Below are 19,744 nucleotides of genomic sequence, written 5' to 3'. Positions count from 1 at the left end.
TGCATCCATAAGCCCCTATATTACTCTACCTTATATAATTACATTTCCAAAAGCAAAATATGCCTTCGGAATAGATACCTTTCATTGACTGAGTGGCCATTATTGTGAGTTGAAAAGGAAAGACCAGAATAAAACATCATCACATATTCAACTTTCTGCTGTTCATCTTTCTTCTTAGATATACCACAGAGACCATTAGTTTAACCTGACTAAATGATCCCATTTCCTCTCTACCCTTCAAACCTACTCCTTATCTCTTACTTCAGTAACTAAGGCCAGAACCTGAGATAAACTCTAAATTTTCTATAGATTCAATACAATTCCAATAAAATTTCCAGGAAGAAGTTGTAGATATCAACAAGCTGATTCTAAAATTTACATGGCATAGCAAAGAAAATCTAGTAGCAAAAATAATGCTGAAAAAAAAAACAAAATTGAAGTTACACCATCCAATTTCAAGACTTATGATAAAGATACTTTAATCAAAACAGTGTGATATTAGCAAAAAAAGTAAATATACAGATGAAGGGAACAAAATAAGATAGTACAGAAATAGAACCATACAAATATAGTCAACTGATTTTTGACAAAGGATTGAAGGCAATATAATGGAAAAATGATAGTCCTTTCAACAAAGTGTTGGAATGGCTGGACAACCACCTGCAAAAAATTAAATAAACCTTGTCACATATTTTATAATAATTACTTAAATGGATCATAAACCTAAATGTAAAACTTAAATTATAAAACTTATAAAAGAAAACAGCAGAAAATCTGTGGGATGTTCAGTGTGGCTATGAATTTTTAGATATGACACCAAAAGCATGATCAACAAAGACAAAATTCATCAATTAGACCTGGTTAATAGAACATTTGTTCTGCCAATGACACCATTAAGAAAATGAAAAGCCACAAACTGGGAGAAATATCTGCAAGTCATACATGTGACAAAAGATTTGTAACTTACAACTCGACAGTAAGAAAACAGACAACACAACTAAAAAGTGGGCAAAAGACGTAAACAGACTTCACCACAGATGATATGGCAATGGAAAAGGAAGCACAGGAAAGGATGCTCAACATCAGTTCTCATTAGAAAAATGCAAATTAAAGCCAAAACGAGATACCACCACTAAACACCGATTAAAATTATTAAATGAATGCCTTAAACACTGACAATACCAAATGCTAACAAGGATGTGAGGCATCACGAATGCTCATTCATTGTTGTTATATGCAAAATGGTACAGGCACTTTGGCAGTTTTTATAAAGTTAAACATAGAATTAACATACAACCCAGCAATTAGGCTTCTAGATATTTACCCAAATGAATTGAAAACCTAAATACACACACACACACACACACACACACACACACACACACACACACACGTATTCAGATGTTTATAGTAGCTTTAGCCATAATCACCTTAAACTGGAAACAATGTAGAAATCCTTTAATAAGTGAATAGATGGACAAACTAAGGTTAAGAGATATAATGAACTATTACTCAGGAATATAAAAAGGAATGAGCTATTGATTCATGCAACAAAACAGATGGATCTTAAGTGTATTTTCATAAGTGAAAGAAGCTAGATTCAAAGGCAACCTGTTGTATTACTTCATTTATATGACATGATTAAAAAGGAAAAACTATAAAAAACGGAAAAATCAATCAGTGGTTGTCAAGGGTTGGAAAAAGGAAAGAGTGATAAACTATTGTGAGGGAATTTTTATGGTGATAGAACTCTTCTATATGATCCTGGCTTGATAAATATCTGATAAATATCTTGATAAATAAATTTGTCACAACCCATAGAATTTTACATTTTAAAAACTAAATATTACTATATGAAAATTCTTTAAAATCAGCCAAGAAGGCAGGGGATGGAATGCAGATAATGAAAAAAAACTCTAACTGAATTACAATGGCATGATATGACCTCACTAAGGGTTGGGTACGGAAGAAGATCTGACCTAAGTAACCTTGGAAATGATATTTTGACTGGAAATTATATAGCTAAAGACAAAAAGTACTATAATAAACACTATTCTAGTTGACAAATTTTTTTCTCACGGAGGCCTGGGTCCGTGACACTGAAGCCACACTATGCAAGTTGATAAATTGGTTTCTCATAGAAGTCTGGGTTAGTGATTCTGAAACCACCTTACATATATATTAAGATTAAAAAAATAAAGAAATAAATTACATCATGAGAGCCAGATTTCTCAGTGTCAGAGAAAGAGGTTACAATAAGCAAGGGGATAAGGCTTGAACAAACCCTGTTTTACTGGATTTGAGTTGGAGAAATCAACATGAATGCAATTTTATCTTAATGTATATACACAAATAGCTAAAAGCAGAAATAATTATAGATATGTGTGTACACGTTGGTTACTATACATACATATATTTCTCAGCTCTGTCCAATGAGAGGGTTTAGAAGTAGTAACCTCTCAGTAGTAATAAGCACACCCAGCACCCAGATTGTGGTTTCTAAATATTATTCTCCAATAAAAGAAACTCGGACTCCTTCAAGAAATGACTGGGACAGGAAAAATATAAGATAAACCTGGAACATCTTGTCATGCCAGAAATAAGGAATCAATCAAAGAAAAAAAAAAGATGAGGATACGTCTTGAAGATACAGGAGCCAACCTGAAAGAGGCAAAGCTGGAATAATTTGAGCAACAAAATAATGTATTGGATTATAATGTACTGGAATACTGGACTATAACCTTGTGGGAGGCAAAATGATGGCCTCCCATAGATGTGCATAACCTATTCCCCAAGAGTGGTGAGTATGTTACATTACATGGCAAAGGGGAATTAACATTGGAAATGGAATTAAGATAGAGAATCAGCTGAATTTAAGATGAGAAAATTATCTTGGATTTTCTGAGTAGATGTGTCTGTGTATACAGACACAAGGGTCTGTATACATGGAAAAGGGAGGCAGGAGAGTCAGTGTCAGAGGGATGCAATGTGATAAAGACTCAGCTGGCGACTACCACCATTGAAGACGGATGGGGACCATGAGCCAAGAAATGCAAACAGCCTCTAGAAACTGCAAAAGGCAAGAAAACAGGTTCTCCACTAGACTCCCCAGAAAGGAATTCCCAGGCCCTTTAGCCAAATGAAGCCTATCGGAAGCACACGAGGGAGAACATAGTAACAGTTCAGTAGAGAAATCTGGCAGAACGCTAAGTGTGTTAGTCTTTTGTGTTGCTATAAAGGAATACCTGAGGCAGGGTAATTTGTAAAGCAAAGAAGTTTATTTGGCCAGGCGTGGTGGCTCACGCCTGTAATCCCAGTACTTTGGGAGACTGAGGCGAGTGGATCACCTGAGATCAGGAGTTCGAGACCAGGCTGGCCAAAATGGTGAAACCTCACCTTTACTAAAAATACAAAAATTATCCAGGTGTGGTGATGGATGCCTGTAATCCCAGCTACTCGGGAAGCTGAGGCAGAAGGATCACTTGAACTTGGGAGGTGGAGGTTGCAGTGAGATGAGATCACACCACTGCACTCCAGCCTGGGTGACAGACACTTGAACCTGGGAGGTGGAGGTTGCAGTGAGATGAGATCACGCCACTGCACTCCAGCCTGGGTGACCGAGTGAGACTCGGTCTCAAACAAAACAGAAACAAAAGAAAAGAAAAGAGATTAATTTGGCTCATGGTTCTGTAGGCTATAAATGATGCATGGCAGCAGCATCTGCTTCTTGTGAGGGCCTCAGGAAGGTACCACTCATGGTGAAATGAGGGGAGTTGGCATGTGCAGATCGCATGGCAAAAGAAGCAAAGAGAGAGGAGGAGGCATCAGGCTTGTTTCACAACTAGTTCTCTGGGGAACTCTCATGGGAACTAATAGAGATATTGCTAAATATTAGATACTACATATTAAATACTAGATATTGGCTGGGCGTGGTGGCTCACGCCTGTAATCCCAGCAATTTGGGAAGCCGAGGCCGGCGGATCATGAGGTCAGGAGTTCGAGACCAGCCTGGCCAACATGGTGAAACCCCATCTCTACTAAAAATACAAAAATTAGCCAGGCATGGTGGTGGGCACCTGTAATCCCAGCTACTTGGGAGGCTGAGGCAGGAGAATCGCTTGAACCCGGGAGGTGGAGGTTGCAGTGAGCTGAGATCGCGCCACTGCATTCCAGCCTGGGCGACAAGAGCAAGGCTCTGACTCAAAAAAAAAAAATTAAATACTAGATATTTTTGCCATTACTTTCAATGGCAAAAATAGCAATTCCTTTTGCACCAACCCAATGGAACGAACTCATTACCTGGAGGACAGCGCCAAGCCATTCGTAAGGAATCCACCCCCATGACCCAAATACCTCCTACTAGGCACCACCTCCAACACTGGGGATCACATTTCAGCGTGAGATTCAGTGAGGTCAAACAGCTCATATCTAAACCATAACATCAAGTGATCAAGATTAACCTCACCAGTGATAAATCATACTGATATTATGTACCCCTAATATGATGCTAGGAGAAGGTGCTCCACCTCTCTGGCATTCTTCACAAAAACCCAAAACCCCAGTCTAATCATGAGAAAACATCAAACAATGTCCCCTAATTGAGAGACGTCCTACACAATATCTGACCAGTACTCTCCAAAACTGTCAAGGTCATAAAAAACAGAAAAGATGGAGAAACTGTCATAGCTTGAAGGAGATTAAAGAAGACATGGCAACTAAGTGCAATGTGGTATCTTACATTGGATCCTGGAACAGAAAAACGACATTAGTTGAAAAATCTGTAAAATCTGAATAAAGTCTTAATAGTGCTGTCCCAAGGATAATTTCTTAGTTTTAACAAATGTACCATGACTATGGAAAATGTTAACATTAGGGGAAAGTAGGTTAAGAGTGTGCAGAAACAATCTGTACCATCATTGCAACTTTTCTGCACATCTAAAATTATTCCAAAATAAATGCTTATAAATTTTTAAATGTGTCCACATAAAGACTTATAATAACATTTATTCATATTAGCTAAAACCTAGTAAAAAAAATCCAAATGTTCATCAACACCACATAAATGGACAAGCAAAATGTGGTATATTCAAACAATTGAATAACTGTCAGCAATTAAAATGAATCAAATACTGATAAAGACTACAATATGGATGAATCTCAAAAGCATTATGCTGAGCAAAGGAAGCCAAATACAAATAAATGCATACTAGGCAATCCTATTTGTAAAAAGTCTAAGCAAGTGCTTACAAAATATTAAGCAAATCTATGGTGAAAAAAGTAAAGCAGTGGTTGCGTAGGGCTGAGAGTGGGAGGGGGTTGACGGAAAAGAGGCAATTAGAAACTATTTGGGTGTTGGTTACGGTATATATATTTCTTAAAACTTATTGCATTGTACTCTTAAAATGGGGGCATATTTTGTATGTAAATTATGACTTAGAGCTGATTTTAAAAGAAAAATATAACACATTTAGAAATTTCCCTTAGCTTCTCCAAATTGTTTTATTATACCAAATGAAAAAAACAAAATCTTCACCACATAATCCAGAATATGTAGTATCACTTTATTTATTGAGTTGTACATTTTATAATTTACTATTTACTATACAGCCAAATGAACAAAATGAAGTTAGTCATACTCATAACATTCTTTCCTGAATATTCCTTTAGAGTGTTGGGATAGGCATTTTTTCAGGTATTGTTTGGAAGAGGTATTGCAGCCATGAAAACCCAATTACCAGAGTGGGCAGACCATCTACACACAGCCCATTAGAGATGGTCCTCACCGGACCTATTCTGGTTAAGTTATTGCATAACATTTGCTATAACTAGCCTACTCCAGCAGTGCCCCCTCAAGTAAAGGGCTTTGATATGAAATCCTCAATCCATTTCTGACTGATATTACCAACTGCAAAAATGCAGGTGAAAGATAATCTGACCTAATACTCCATCATTTGTATGATCGTTTATCTGAAGTTGATGACTACTCCATTCTGATGGTTTTGGGATTTATGAACCTATAGCACCATTTAACACCTACATTTGCGCCTGTGAAAAACAGCAGTCTTTCCTAAACTGAACTCAGACTTGTTTATCTATATTTAAATACATTTTCCCTCTAAAACTAGTGGGTATTATTCAGAGTTTAAGGAGGTGAAAAAGTACCTATTTGTTTAAAAAAATGGCTAATTGTGATTTTGAGTATCTGTAGTTTTACTGAACAATATACTACTAGTGGAGCCATTTTTTAATCCACAGTTCAGAGCAAACATATAATTTTTAAGAGAAAAATTCATGTTAAGTTGCTACCTTTTCAGGAATCGTAAGATTCAACAAAAACAAAATTAATAAGTTTTAAATCAAATTGGAATAGAGAAAGAACACCACCTTCCAGGGTTCAGGAGAAGGAAGGGCAAAGAGAACTACAGAGATAAGGAGTGAATGCTGGTGCTTATCTTTTTCAAGCAATTCAATAAAAAGCCTGTGACCTTCAGAATTAAAAAAAAAAAATCAACATCTGGTAATAAAATATTGAGTACAAGATTGAAAATCTGTAAAATGATAAACATTTGGCAATACTATATATGAGATTACAAATGTAAAATTATAAAATAGTTTTGACAAAGATGACATAACATTAAAACAAGACAAAATGATATATCAGAAATTTCAATGAAAGTTATAAGAGTAAACTTCTGTATTGACTATTATGAGATTAATAAGTATTGATCATGTCATCTATAAAGGGAAGAGTAATTTCTGTATTAGAAAGTTGCAGCATGACTCATTTTTGGCAAAGAAGGATAACATAACTTAGACTACGTAGGATAGGCCTCTTCACAATTGGTAGGATTGAAACATGATTTCAGTGAATTTTTGGCAAATTTTTGTAGTAGTTTTTTCTTGCTTAAAATATTTATGATACATGCACTGCTGCTGAATGGAATTGTAGCTTGTGTTTCTCAATTTACATAGAGGATTTCACATAATCTTGGAGGTTCTACGTTGTTTTCTAAAGGGTTTTCTTATGTTTGGGGAAATTTGAGGGCACGTGACCTCCTTCGAAGCTGCTCTCCTGATACAATAATCATGTCCTGTACTGCTCAGTGCCACCCACTGAAGCAGACCCTGTGACCCTGTGGTTAGGATTCACCAACTGACGACTCTCCTAGTTTTGTGTGCATCAGAGTCACTAGGAATTCTAATTTTTAACAAAACTTTCAAGTGATTCTATGACATACAAAAATGCATATTACTTTAGAATTTGATCACTTTTGACACTCAGATCTTTAAAAAATTTAAATACACTTAAAATAGTAAAATTAGGATTTTAAGTGTTACTGAATGTATTTTACTACTACTAGCTGATGCTAGTATTAATCACTAAGTGCCAGGTTTTGCAGAGAGTGCTTTACTTATATTAACTTATTTACTCCTCACAACATTCTTGATGCAGGTACCATTATTATCTCCATTTTTATCAATGAGGACATTGAGGCACAGAGATGTTAAATAGTCCACCCACCTAGTAAGTGACTGAGTTAGAGTTGGAACATGGACAGTCAGCCTCAAAGATCACACTGCTAGCCACTCTGCTCTCCTGCCTCTCCACTAAGAGTTAACTTGGTAAGAAATTATGAATGTTGACTTATTTTGACAGCAATTTGACACCGCACTTTAAAAAAAAACATATTCCCTTAATCCAGTTTCATTAAGGTTTGATATGCTTTCTCTTATCACACTTAACACTCCTCAGAGTAAAACTCATACTTCATATGTGTTCTCTAGTGCCTATAGTTAAGCTCACCTACTAACTATTATACTATGGCTTAATAAAATTAGGGTAAGCAAAAATAGCTACCTGTTTCCAAGTATTTAGTATATGCTATGTGCTATGGTAAGTATTTTTCCAGCAGTTTGTCATTGAAACCTTTCTCCTGTAGCAGCTGTTCTTTCATGAGTGCAAACTAGGTAGTTCACAATAGTCTCAACATTCGTGGTGCATCAGAATCACCTGTGAGTGGTCCTCGCATACAATTACCAGGCGCCAGTCCTGGCGATTCTGATTGAATTTGTCTGAACTGCAGCGGCATGAGGATAGTTTTAGACCCTCCCTACTTGCCTTCATCTGCTTCGTGCTTCTGTAACAGAATATATGAGACTGCGTAGTTTATAAAGAACGGAAATTTATTTCTTATAATACTAGAGGCTGGGAAGTCCAAGATGAAGGGGCTTAAATCTGGTGAGGGTCTTCTTATTGCATCATCCCATGGTGGAAGGCAGAAGGACAAGAGAGCATGTGTATGAGAGAGAGCAGGGCAGGGGGCTGAAGTTAACCCATTCCCAAGATAATGGTGTTAATTCATTCATGAGGATGGAGCCCACATGACTTAACCACCTCAGAAAGGTCCGACCTCTTAACACTGTTGCGTTGGGGATTAAGTTTCAACGCATAAACTTTGGGGTCATGTTCAAATCACAGCACTACTGAATTCCAATGTGCAGTCAGAGTTGAAAACCACTCTGAGCTAAATGCTTTACATATGAATTTTATTTAAACCTTAGGAAAACCTAGTGAGGTCGGTATTATTTTCCTCATTTTATTTATGAGGAAATTGGTTCAGAGAAGTTAAATAACTTGGCCAAATTACTAAAGGGCCAAGCCAGGGATTCCAACCTGTGTCTTGCTAACTCAAAAGTTTATTGCCATAACCATCACACTATTCTACGCAGGAGCCATCCCATTTGTGGAATTCAGTTAAGGGCCTGGCCTGGATGCATTTCTAGCCTTCCACTGCCACTCACCTACTACTACACCCTCCCCCTCCCATGGCAGCCTCTCACTCTCCAGTGGCCTGACTTAAAAGCTTATGCCATTTCACATTATTCCAGCTTTATTGGCTCAACAGTGAAGTTAGGACATCTTTCCAGATGGCAGCCAAGCTTCAGTATAGAGCAAAGCAAAACCAACCACAGGGGAAGGTTGCACTATATCTACTTAAGTACATTCTTTTGATGTGAATAGTGTGCCTCGCACTCAGAGTAAATTAGTTTAGTCAGGCTTAGTCAGAGACCCAGGGGGAGATGCTTGGATTCAGGCAGCGGGCCAGAATGCAGCCGCCCTAAAGTATTTCCATAAACCATCACACTGCTAATATTGCAGCCAGAGGCCTTTTTGGAGTTCAGCTTTGTGTTTTACAATTTCACTCTAAAAAGTAGTTTATGCAGCGGGAACTAAAAAAATCACTTTACATTTGACTTTCCTTTTGGTCACATGGACTTCACCCAAGACACCCCTTCTGAGAGTTGGCAAGAGATGAGGAGGTTCCCAGCCTTGGTCCTGGCTTAATAATCATTCTTTACTTTTGCAGTATCCTCATTAAAGTCATTCCACACACATGGCCTCATGAGCTCATAGGTTACTAGACAAGGTGATATTTCTATGCTGTATATTTAAAATGAATCTTACAAACCTCCTAAAAGAAAGGAAGGAAGGAGAAGAGAGAGAAAGAAAGGAAGGAAGGGGGGAAGAAAAAGAAGAAAGAAGGAAAATAATCTACTAACTCTCACTGATATTACAAAATAAACATATAAAGACTGACGATGAACATTCTCCCCATTCTTGTTTCTCTGACTCTCCTCCTCTCGTGCTTCCCTTTGCATGCTCCACTGCAGCCGTCCAGGGTGAGCACTGTGCCTGTCACATGCTGCCACTTTCAGGGCAGCTCCACTGATCTTTGCGTGGACTTTATTGCTCTTTCCTGCTCCAGAGAAATGCTCTTACCCTCAAATGGAATTGTTTTCCTCCTGCTCTTTGTCTTCTCCTTCCCATCACTTCCCATCCCATTCTTCCTCCATAGAGCCCTGAGTTGTTCTACCCTGCCTACTGACCTCAGCAGTAGTAGTCAGCATCCCAATATCTTCCACATGAATATCTTTCCCATCATATGTGGCTTCCCTTTACTTTTTTCTCTCCCCACGACCTGAAATCTTCCTACTCTGTCTCCCGCCTCCGCCTCATTTTGTCTTCTTTTCCAAATTTACCATTTATGTTATATTGCAAATATTTATTGAGCGGCCAGCCTGCTGGGCACTGCAAGGAGATGACAGAATTGTAAATCTCTGCCCTGGAGCAGCTCCAGTCTGGCTTCTCTGAGTGAATTCAAACAGATGTGGCTAGATCTAAACCTTCATCTCTCTTTTACTCTGAAACCTTACAGCGGCCCCAATTGTTCTTACCTGCAGTCTCTCTTGCTGACATCCATCAATCAGCGTCTGCACCCTAACAGTTACAAAGGAAACAAAAGACACCTAAAGCTATTAACTACTACTTCCCAGAAAGCCTCATTACCATCCCGTGGAAGTAATATCCGGAGTAGCAGATTAGCCTTCTTGCAAAAGAAAAATGCAACAAATTATTTCTAAGCTGAGTTTAAGAAGATCATACTTTAGACGGGCACCAGAATTCCCCTTGTGTCAGTGCCTTGGAAGACCCCCAGGCAAGTTTAGAAATCCCCATTTAACCTAAGGGTTAAATGTTGTCAAAATTCAGCAGGCAGTTCCTCCTTTTTACCTCTCCTGGTTGAAAGAGAACATGTCACAAATTAATAAAAGAATATTTTTGGGGTGCCATATGTCAGAACATTCTAAGTACATTTTTCATTTAAACCTCTTAACAATCATTTAGAGGTTCTATGATCATGTCCATTTGGCAGATTAGGAAACTGACGCACAAAGTGTTTATATAAATTATAGAAGCATGCTGTGGAGCCAGGATTTGACACATGTAATAAAACTCTTGATACCTAAAACTTTAACCGCCCTTTATACAGCCTCCCACAATGACAGCAGCTCCATCCAGTATCCTGATGTGGGGTGGGGGGCACCTGAAGCTTTTGCCATGCAAACTCAGGGTGGCTGCACCTTTAGGAGAAATTACCTCTCAGTGTCCTTCAGTACGCTAGAGCTCCTCTAGTTGGAGACAAGGTCCACGAATCTTCTGCCACAAAATATAAGAATTTTTAATAATTAAAATTGAAAATGAAGCTTCTGTCATATGCATGGCAAAAAAGTGCACAAGTCTTTAAGCTTCTTGAAAAGAAGTTTTGTTGTTTTCTTTAATTTCCGTGAGTACATAGTGGGTGTATACATTTAGGAGGTACATAAGATGTTTCAATACAGGCATGCAATGTGAAAAAAATACATCATGAAGAATGGGTTATCCATCTCATCAAGAATTTATCCACTGAATTGCACACACTCTTTAAGTTATTTTAAATGACACTCTTTATTTTTAAATCCAATGACACTCTTTATTTTAAAATGTACAGTTATTATTGACTATAGTCACCCTGTGAATTTTAAAGTGATTAGTTCACCATCATTTTGTACCTTACCTTCAACTTCTAGCCATGGCTATGCCCATTTGGACAATAAATAGGGAAGAAAAAAGAAAAAGGAGGAAAGGAAGGTAATGTAAGAGGAGAGGAGGGGAGGGGAAGGAAAGAGACCAGCAACTTGTCTGAGTGCAATGCCATCTTGCAGGGGAAAGCATTTTTCAGAGATTCACAGTCCCTATTGTTCTTCCTCAAAGGCCTGCTGACCAATAACGACTGATTCTGGATCTACCTTACGACCTTCCTGGGCCTTCTGCACTTGAAAGCAGGCACTGCTTATTGAGGATGGTTTATGGGCTTTGCTTTATATACTTATGATTCTGTTTTGCTTAGTGCTGGGTCTCAAAAAGCCTAGAAAGCCATGTCCCCGCCTCCTTGAGACATTAAACACAAGGAAGAGAATCCTAGATGTTTTAGAAAAATATAAAAAATTCTAGTGGATTGCTGGGGTAAAACTGCCCAAGTACATTTATTTTGCCTCCATTCTCCTTTTAAGCCTGCTGAGTAGTAGTTCTTTCCCCTGTACTTCAGATGGAAACCCGTGCCATCCAATGATGATGTCACTTATGTAAGTAAAGTCATTATCACACTTTAATCACAGAACATACCTTTAATTCAGAAATTAAGTCTTCATACCAAGTGTTAGAAATAAACTTTCGGTGCCGCAAAAGAAATAGCACTTCAGCAAAAATTTTCTCAGCAAGGCAATTTACTTGTATAGAAGAGTGCATTTCATGGATGGAGCAATGGCGAGAGCACACCTGAACAAGGGAGGGTAAGGGGTTTTTATCCCAGATGTGGGTAGCTCCTACTGCTGTGTCGTTCGCCTATTGGCTAGGGTTGGACCACACAGTCTAAGCTAATTCCAATTGGCTATTTTAAAGAGAGCAGGGGTACGAGCCGGAGTGGTGGTGTGAATAGTTTGGCGGGAAGGATGGTTACAGAACAGGTGACTCAGGATGACTCACGTCACAGCAGGTGACCAGGGGTGACTCAGGACAGATCAGGTGATAGAGGCTAGGAGGGGGGTGTTTACTGAAACTAGGGGCAAAGAAACAAAGAGAACAGAGGAAGTTAAACTTTAAAATGAAGGACAAAAAACAGAGAATCTGAACATACTGATGCATTGGTTCTTTGGAGAGGATCTCAGAACTCATTGTACTTAACAATTTACAGGCTAAAACCTTTGAAGAGGAATTTATTATATCCTATACAAGACAAGCGATACTTCAACCTTCTTTCAAAAGGAAGCCGCTTCAGCCCACACCAGCCACAGACAAACATCTGCCTTCAAATGCAAGGTGGACTCCTTCTCTCTTTCTCATTTCTAGCCATGACTGTCCAAGAGTACATTCCAAGAGTCTTAGCTGCTGGGGCTTTCTGATTCCTTTGATCTGGCTAGGGTCTCTCCTTCTCCTTCAGCTGGTTGCTCTTCTATCCACTCAGCAACACCTTTGGAAGAAAATCCATTCCTTTTACTTCTGAGACCCCCTTGCCTTGGCAGCCACATTGCATAAGAAATGCCCTTTTGAGATGGAGTTTCACTCTTGTTGCCCAGGCTGGAGTGCAATGGCACGATCTCAGCTCACTGCAACCTCTGCCTCGTGGGTTCAAGCTATTCTCCTGCCTCAGCCTCCTGAGTAGCTGGGATTACAGGCACCCGCCACCACACCTGGCTAATTTTTGTATTTTTAGTAGAGACAGGGTTTCTCTCCATGTTGGTCAGGCTGGTCTCAAACTCCCGACCTTAGGTGATCCACCTGCCTTGGCCTCCCAAAGTGCAAAAAATGCCTTTTAAACAGACCCTGGACTAAACTTTCTGCTGCTGCTCCCAACTCTGCTCTCTGGGATATACGTGACTTTGAACCACAATCTCAGGAAAATTCAGTTACTTTGCAGGTGCAGCACCTTTACTCAGCTGCTGTGGGCAAGCAGGAAACTGACACCAACCCTCTGTATTGCCAACTACAGGGAACATTCATCAAGCTTTTCCAATGGCCCTGATGCATGCCTGTCACATCACCAAGAATGAACTAAGTGGCAGTGCTCCCTCTACTCCCCTTAGTTCTTTGACCTGATAAATCACCTTCCAAGGTATTCTTTTAATCTCTGTTCTCTCAACCTTTTAATCTCCCTCTTGAATATGAAAGTTCCTAGAGTTGTAAACCAATTCTCAAACAATTGTTTGAAAATCTACATCATAGCCTGGCACCTCATTTTGAAATTCCATAGCTATTGTATGAGGATGGTCCAGTTGAAACTTTCTATTTACTATCTTGTTACAGAAGGATAAATGTTTCTGCTCTCAAATGGAGTAAATAGCCACACATATGAAAAGTGTTTTTTTTAATTCTACACCAGGTGCTGGGGATTCATCAACAGGAATTCTGAACCATCTCCTTGTCAGTGCCTGCCCAGGTAGGGAAAGGGGGTCAGTGCCACGAGCAGGGCAGGGTGTTGCAGGATGTGGGCCAATGTGAACAGGTCCCTCTTCAAAACACAGTGGTGCCATCATGTCCATTCTGCTTCAGACACAGCCTGCAGTATTCACAATAAGTATAGCAACCTATGCAACTGCCTCACTGTGGAGCCCTCGGGAGGGAATTTAAAGCAGCGCACACGCCTCTGGCTTCTCATAGACGAGGAGAATGTGTCCATTTCCTAGGGGAAAGCCTAATTTAAAAGAATTATAACGGCAAGAAAATCCCAGAAACCTAGCACTCACATGTAATAAGAACATCTCAGGGAGTGCAAGAAGGGGACAGCAAAAACTTTTGTTGGGGCTCAAAGAACAATACCCCAAAGTACAGTGCTTTGGAACTCTGAACACTTTTAAGTTAAAGAAAATTGCAAGACAGAAGCGACCTCAAAACCAAAGGCTTTCTAACCTTTCCTTTCACCCCCAACCACGCACAGGGAAGGGCTCTCTCTGGAAGTTCTCTTATCTGACTGAGGAAGGAAACTTCTTCCAAAAGAAATGAAATTGTCTTGAAACCTCTGATATGGTTTGGATTTGTGTCCTCACCCAGATCTCATGTTGAATTACAATCTCCAGTGTTGAAGGTGGAGCCTGGTGGGAGGTGACTGGAGCATGGGGGCGGTTTCTCATGGTTTAACACCATCCCCTTTGGTGCTGACAAAGTGATAGTGAGTTCTTATGAGACCTTGTTTAAAAGTGTGTGGCACCTACCCAATCTCTCTGTTCTGTCTGCTCCAGCCATGTGAAATGCTGGCTTCCCCTTTGCCTTCCACCATAATTGTAAGTTTCCTGAGGCCTCCCCAGAAGTTGAGCAGGAGCCACTGTGCTTCCTATTCAGCCTACAGAACTGTGAGGCAATTAAACTTCTTTTCTTTTTAAATTACCCAGTCTCTGGTATTTCTTTACAACAGTGCAAGAACAAATTAATACAACCTCATTCCTAGGAATCACATCAAATAACCAGGAAAGGTTTACTTTTGGAGAAAAGATCAAAACTTGTCACAATGCACAGACTTCATCTATACTTCTAGGAGCATCTCCAAGGAATTATCTGGGAGATATTATCTACATAATAAGACAACGTCTGTTCACAGTGAAGTTCCACCCCTTACCTTCCCAAAATTTGTCACTACCTCCCCAGAGCTTAGAGGAACTTTGTCTCAGTTCTTTGTCCGTTCTTGGGGCTCATTCAGTTTCCAGAAGGAATCACTTACAAACTGTTGCCTGCTCTTTTGGGCATTTCCCCTAAAAATCATTTACTACCCCTCTAAAATGGCTACACCTTCATTTCTCTCTTCCCTATGAAGAGGGGTATATAAGTCCCTGAATCTGATTGTGTTAGAGGACAATACTGTCCTGTGATTTTTCCCCCATGCACATTAATAGACTTGTATGCCTTTTCTTCTATTAACCTGTCTACTGTCAGCTCATTTCAGTGAACTTTCAGAGGGTAGAAGGGAATTCACCTCTACAGTTTGAATTTACATTTTATAATTTGTGTCAAAACCTGAAATCTTTTTAAACATATTTTAACATATTGCCCTCAACACTCTCTAAAAGGAAAAAAAAAAACCATTTGAAGGTAATAAAATAAATCTCATTTATTCAATATTAGCAAGTACACTGTAAGAAGAAAAAAAATCAACCCTGTGACAGAGCCTTCAAAACTCTTCTGAACAAATATAGAAATATACTTGGAGGCACAATATTACAATGAATCAATTCTATTGTAAAAATTCTTCTAAGATAGATATTGTAATAGAAAATTTCATTGTGAAAATTGCCTAAAAGTACCTAAGGTTGACATGGAAACATGCTAACCATTAGTAAACCGAATTAGTTTTTAACATGATGAGGATTTTTCTCTTCATTTCTAATTTTTATTCACGTAAGCCTTCATTCTTTGTACATTTTGTAAGTAAATAGTTTGTGGAGAAACTGATTTGAAAATTAAGCTGAGGTTTATAAATATTTAAAATACAATTTTGTGACAAAAATCTAACCTGAATTATATTCAATATCAGAATCAGAGTATTGGAATACTTTCCTTTCTAACTGTTGCAGGAGAACATAATGAAGGGCAGGATAAAGACAGTCAGAACCAAATATGCACAAATCTCTTCTCAGCCAGCACAGTAGGTCACTAACAATCCCTGCCTTGTTGGTTCCTCTTGTTTTTCTGTTCCTGTTTCCACAGGAGTTATGAGGACCTTATGGGATAGTTGAATAGCTATGGCAGTGATTTGGATGGCTGTAGGACTTTATTGTATGCAGACTATTTTCCTACTCTATTGTCAGAAAATCCATTGTAATTTTCCTCTCAGGGTAGATGAAAGCAGTGGCTTTATAAATTTTTTAAAGCTTTGTGCTAATCTAGGATACTGGTACTTTTCTTCAGAGCTATGTAAATATGTCTTTTCAACTAATTCAATATTTCCGTCCTTACTGACTCATTGGGAAAGAATTAACATACCAATGCAGAGTAAAAAAAGAGAGAAGGACTGTCTAGGAAAAAAAATAATGTTGGCAAAGTACACTGAAGTTTTATAAGACATGAGCGCCAGTTCCTCATTAAAGAAAGAGTAACAGTAATAAAATCATTAATAATAATCACATGGTAATAAAAAAAGCACTGGTTAGAAAGCAACTACTACAGAGAAAAATGGAACCCTGACATGTGGTAAGGGCATGTATGTTCATATGGCTTTTTCTCTGTGAAGATGGGTTTGTCTTGGTCTTTTGCCCCTCACTCTCCCGTTGTCATTGTGTATGAATCAGGTGGCAAGTTCAGAATACAATGACATTCCCAGTGACTGAAGTCACAGCAGAATCTTGGCTTTACTGCCTTTTCCCTCTGTTTCCCACCCATTTCACAGCCACATAAAACAAGTATCTGGTATTCTATTAGCCAAGGAGCATTGAGCCTATATGCACATTTCTTACCAGCAGACCACAGATTTCCATGAAGACAGAAACATTAAAAGCTTGAGCAATAGTTGGAGAGGTAACCGTCTTACCCATCTAACCCTGTACCTTATTCAATATCTCTCACAAAAGCGACCATCTTGTACTATAACTGTATTAACTATATTTTGACCTAAGAAGATAGGTTGTTCTGCCACTTTTGTGTGCTATTTATACATTTTTCCCTCTATTTTGAGTGCCCTTTCCATGTTTTGTAAATCTACTTGCTAAATTATTGGCTTTTTTTCCATCAAGTTTCAGGTTAAGCATTAATGTTTTTGCAAACCCTTCACTGATTTCCTCAGGCACATCGGGGTATGACACCTGCTCCATTATCATAACTTACACGTGTCATCTTGATGTCGGTTGCTAATGTACTATTATAATTATTTGTTTGCAGGTCTATATTAGGTGCAATGACCTTATTTGTTGATTTCTGCCTCAATCACTAACACAGTGACTGTACTACAGTGGTATCTGTAAGGGAGGAAAAATAATTTTCTCTCCACCCTTCTAAGTTATTAGCTGGAACAGATCCTTGTAACAAAAGAGATTATCCAGAGAAAAACAACAGAAGTTTATTAACATGTGTACTTCATATATATATGGGAGTTAGAGAAATAACTCAATTTCAAATAGATGTCTTAGAATATTGGCTAAATACTATCATCCACTGAAACAAAGAAAGAAGGGGTGGGGGGGGCCAGTTATGGGAAGGTGACCAGGAAAAGTAGGGTAAACAAGAATAAGGCTTGTTATGGAAATTTAAGTCTTCTCCTTGATAAGAGTTCCTTGTGATTTAGTCATCTTTCTCTTTTTGGTACAAAAAGGGAAACACCCTTACATATGGAAATTTCCTTTATAAATGTAAATTTCCCTTACAAAAGGGTAACATCTATTCTGTTTTCAGAACTTCTCCTGGGTATGCTATACCTCAAAATAATCCTTATGCCAAACAGGCATATTTGGGGGTGGCATAATTTGGTATCCTACATATGCAATAGTCAATAAATGAGTGATGCTAGAAGTATATGATCATCACACCCCTGAACTGTACTGCTAGAAAGGGGCCAAGAGCTGTCAATCAAGGCAATAGGTTTTGATTCCAGAACCTTACCTAGTAGAGTTATTGGGTATCCCCTCCTTGCCCCGTCAGCGTTTTTGTTTTGTTTTGTTTTTTTGGGTCACACATTTCCCTAAGTGCCATGTAAGTTGCTCCTGATGCTGTAGATATTGCCAGTATCACTTCAGCTACATGGTCATCTCAATCATCCCTGGCTACTGCACCTGCCACCACTGACAGCACTTCCCCAAGCATGCCAACGTTGCCACCAACTGCTCTAAAGCTCTGGTTCTCAATGGGGGTAACTTTGTCCTCACAGGAGACATTTTTGGATGTTACAAATAGAGGAGGGGATGCTACTGGCATCCAGTGGGCAGGCTAGTGATGTTGCTCAACATCTTACACTGCGCAGGTCAACAATAATCTGACCAAAAATGTCAGAAGTGTTGAGGCTGAGAAACCCTGCACCAAAGTGAAACAGCATATCTTCCCCACTAGCATTGTAGGGTTTTAATGTGATTTCCCAAAGACGATCTGACTCTCCTGATTCTATAAGTTTCCTTGCAGCATTTTTTCACATGGTTTAAGATAAAATTCCCCAGAACTGAGGTACAGAATATTTATGTTATTATTGAGACCACCTTTGCAAAAATTATTATAGTGTGAGAAATCTAAAATAAACTGACTCCATCTTGCTTCTAACGTCACAAGCTACCTGCCCTTATTTCTGGGTGTAGGCCAAGCTAACTGTGGGAAGAATTTAATTTATAGTTTTTTTTTAAGCAAGGATGATAATAGTTCCTAGCCAAAACTGATGCCCCTCTGGGGACAGAAACTGCCTTTGCAAGACTTATGAAAGGCCAGAACTTGAGGATTATGGGAGGGACCTTAATTCTGCTAAGATGTAGACATAGTTAAATAATAAACAGGCATTGTTCCCTATCTTGGTATCTTGGTTTTTCATAATCTGTTACTGCTCAAGTGTCACATAGCCAGAGGTCACAAGATTGGTAATGTCCCAGATTGCTCCTGTAAATAACATCACTATTGTAAAACCTAAGATTTGTCTTTGAGATATTTTTCAGACTTTTGCATTCCATTGACTGACTGACTCAACCCACACCCATGACTCATATGAGGGAACTGACTTAACCAGTCCTGTGGCCCCTCACCCAGAAACAGATTCAGCAGACCACTTTGACAAGTGGTCTTTCCAAACAGAGAGCCAAATCATGAGTGAACTCCCATTCACAATTGCTTCAAAGAGACTAAAATACCTAGGAATCCAACTTACAAGGGATGTGAAGGACCTCTTCTAGGAGAACTACAAACCACTGCTCAGCAAAATAAAAAAGGACACAAACAAATGGAAGAACATTCCACGCTCATGGATAGGAAGAATCAATATTGTGAAAATGGCCATACTGCCCAAGGTAATTTATAGATTCAGTGCAATCCCCATCAAGCTACCAGTGACTTTCTTCACAGAATTGGAAAAAACTACTTTGAAGTTCATATGGAACCAAAAAAGAGCCCGCATTGCCAAGATAATCCTAAGCCAAAAGAACAAAGCTGGAGGCATCATGCTACCTGACTTCAAACTATACTACAAGGAGACAGCAACCAAAACAGCATGGTACTGGTACCAAAACAGAGATATAGACCAATGGAACACAACAGAGTCCTCAGAAATAATACCACCACATCTACAACTATCTGATCTTTGACAAACTTGACAAAAACAAGAAATGGGGAAAGGATTCCCTATTTAATAAATGGTGCTGGGAAAACTGGCTAGCCATATGTAGAAAGCTGAAACTGGATCCCTTCCTTACACCTTATACA

At 38.9% G+C, this 19,744-nt stretch overlaps 1 long non-coding RNA gene across 1 annotated transcript in view, besides 1 other annotated feature; it reads right to left on the bottom strand.

Moving 5' to 3' along the window:
* Nucleotides 1-19,744, bottom strand: part of LOC105369474 (uncharacterized) — a 41,954-nt gene that overhangs the window by 919 nt on the left and 21,291 nt on the right. The gene's annotated exons all lie outside the window — the stretch shown is intronic.
* Nucleotides 12,007-13,206: an enhancer, noted in NCBI's record as "P300/CBP strongly-dependent group 1 enhancer chr11:106265787-106266986 (GRCh37/hg19 assembly coordinates)". NCBI's record gives its function as "activates an origin of replication core promoter dependent on BRD2, BRD4, P300/CBP, MED14 and CDK7 cofactors, with strong dependence on P300/CBP, by STARR-seq in HCT116 cells {active_cell/tissue: HCT116}" and the evidence as "EXISTENCE:reporter gene assay evidence [ECO:0000049][PMID:35650434]".

Source organism: Homo sapiens, chromosome 11 (genome assembly GCF_000001405.40).
Source record: "Homo sapiens chromosome 11, GRCh38.p14 Primary Assembly".
In the NCBI taxonomy this organism is placed as follows: domain Eukaryota; kingdom Metazoa; phylum Chordata; class Mammalia; order Primates; family Hominidae; genus Homo; species Homo sapiens.
The sequence above is the reverse complement of the archived record's forward strand: the minus strand, read 5'-3'. Positions and strand labels throughout refer to the sequence as shown.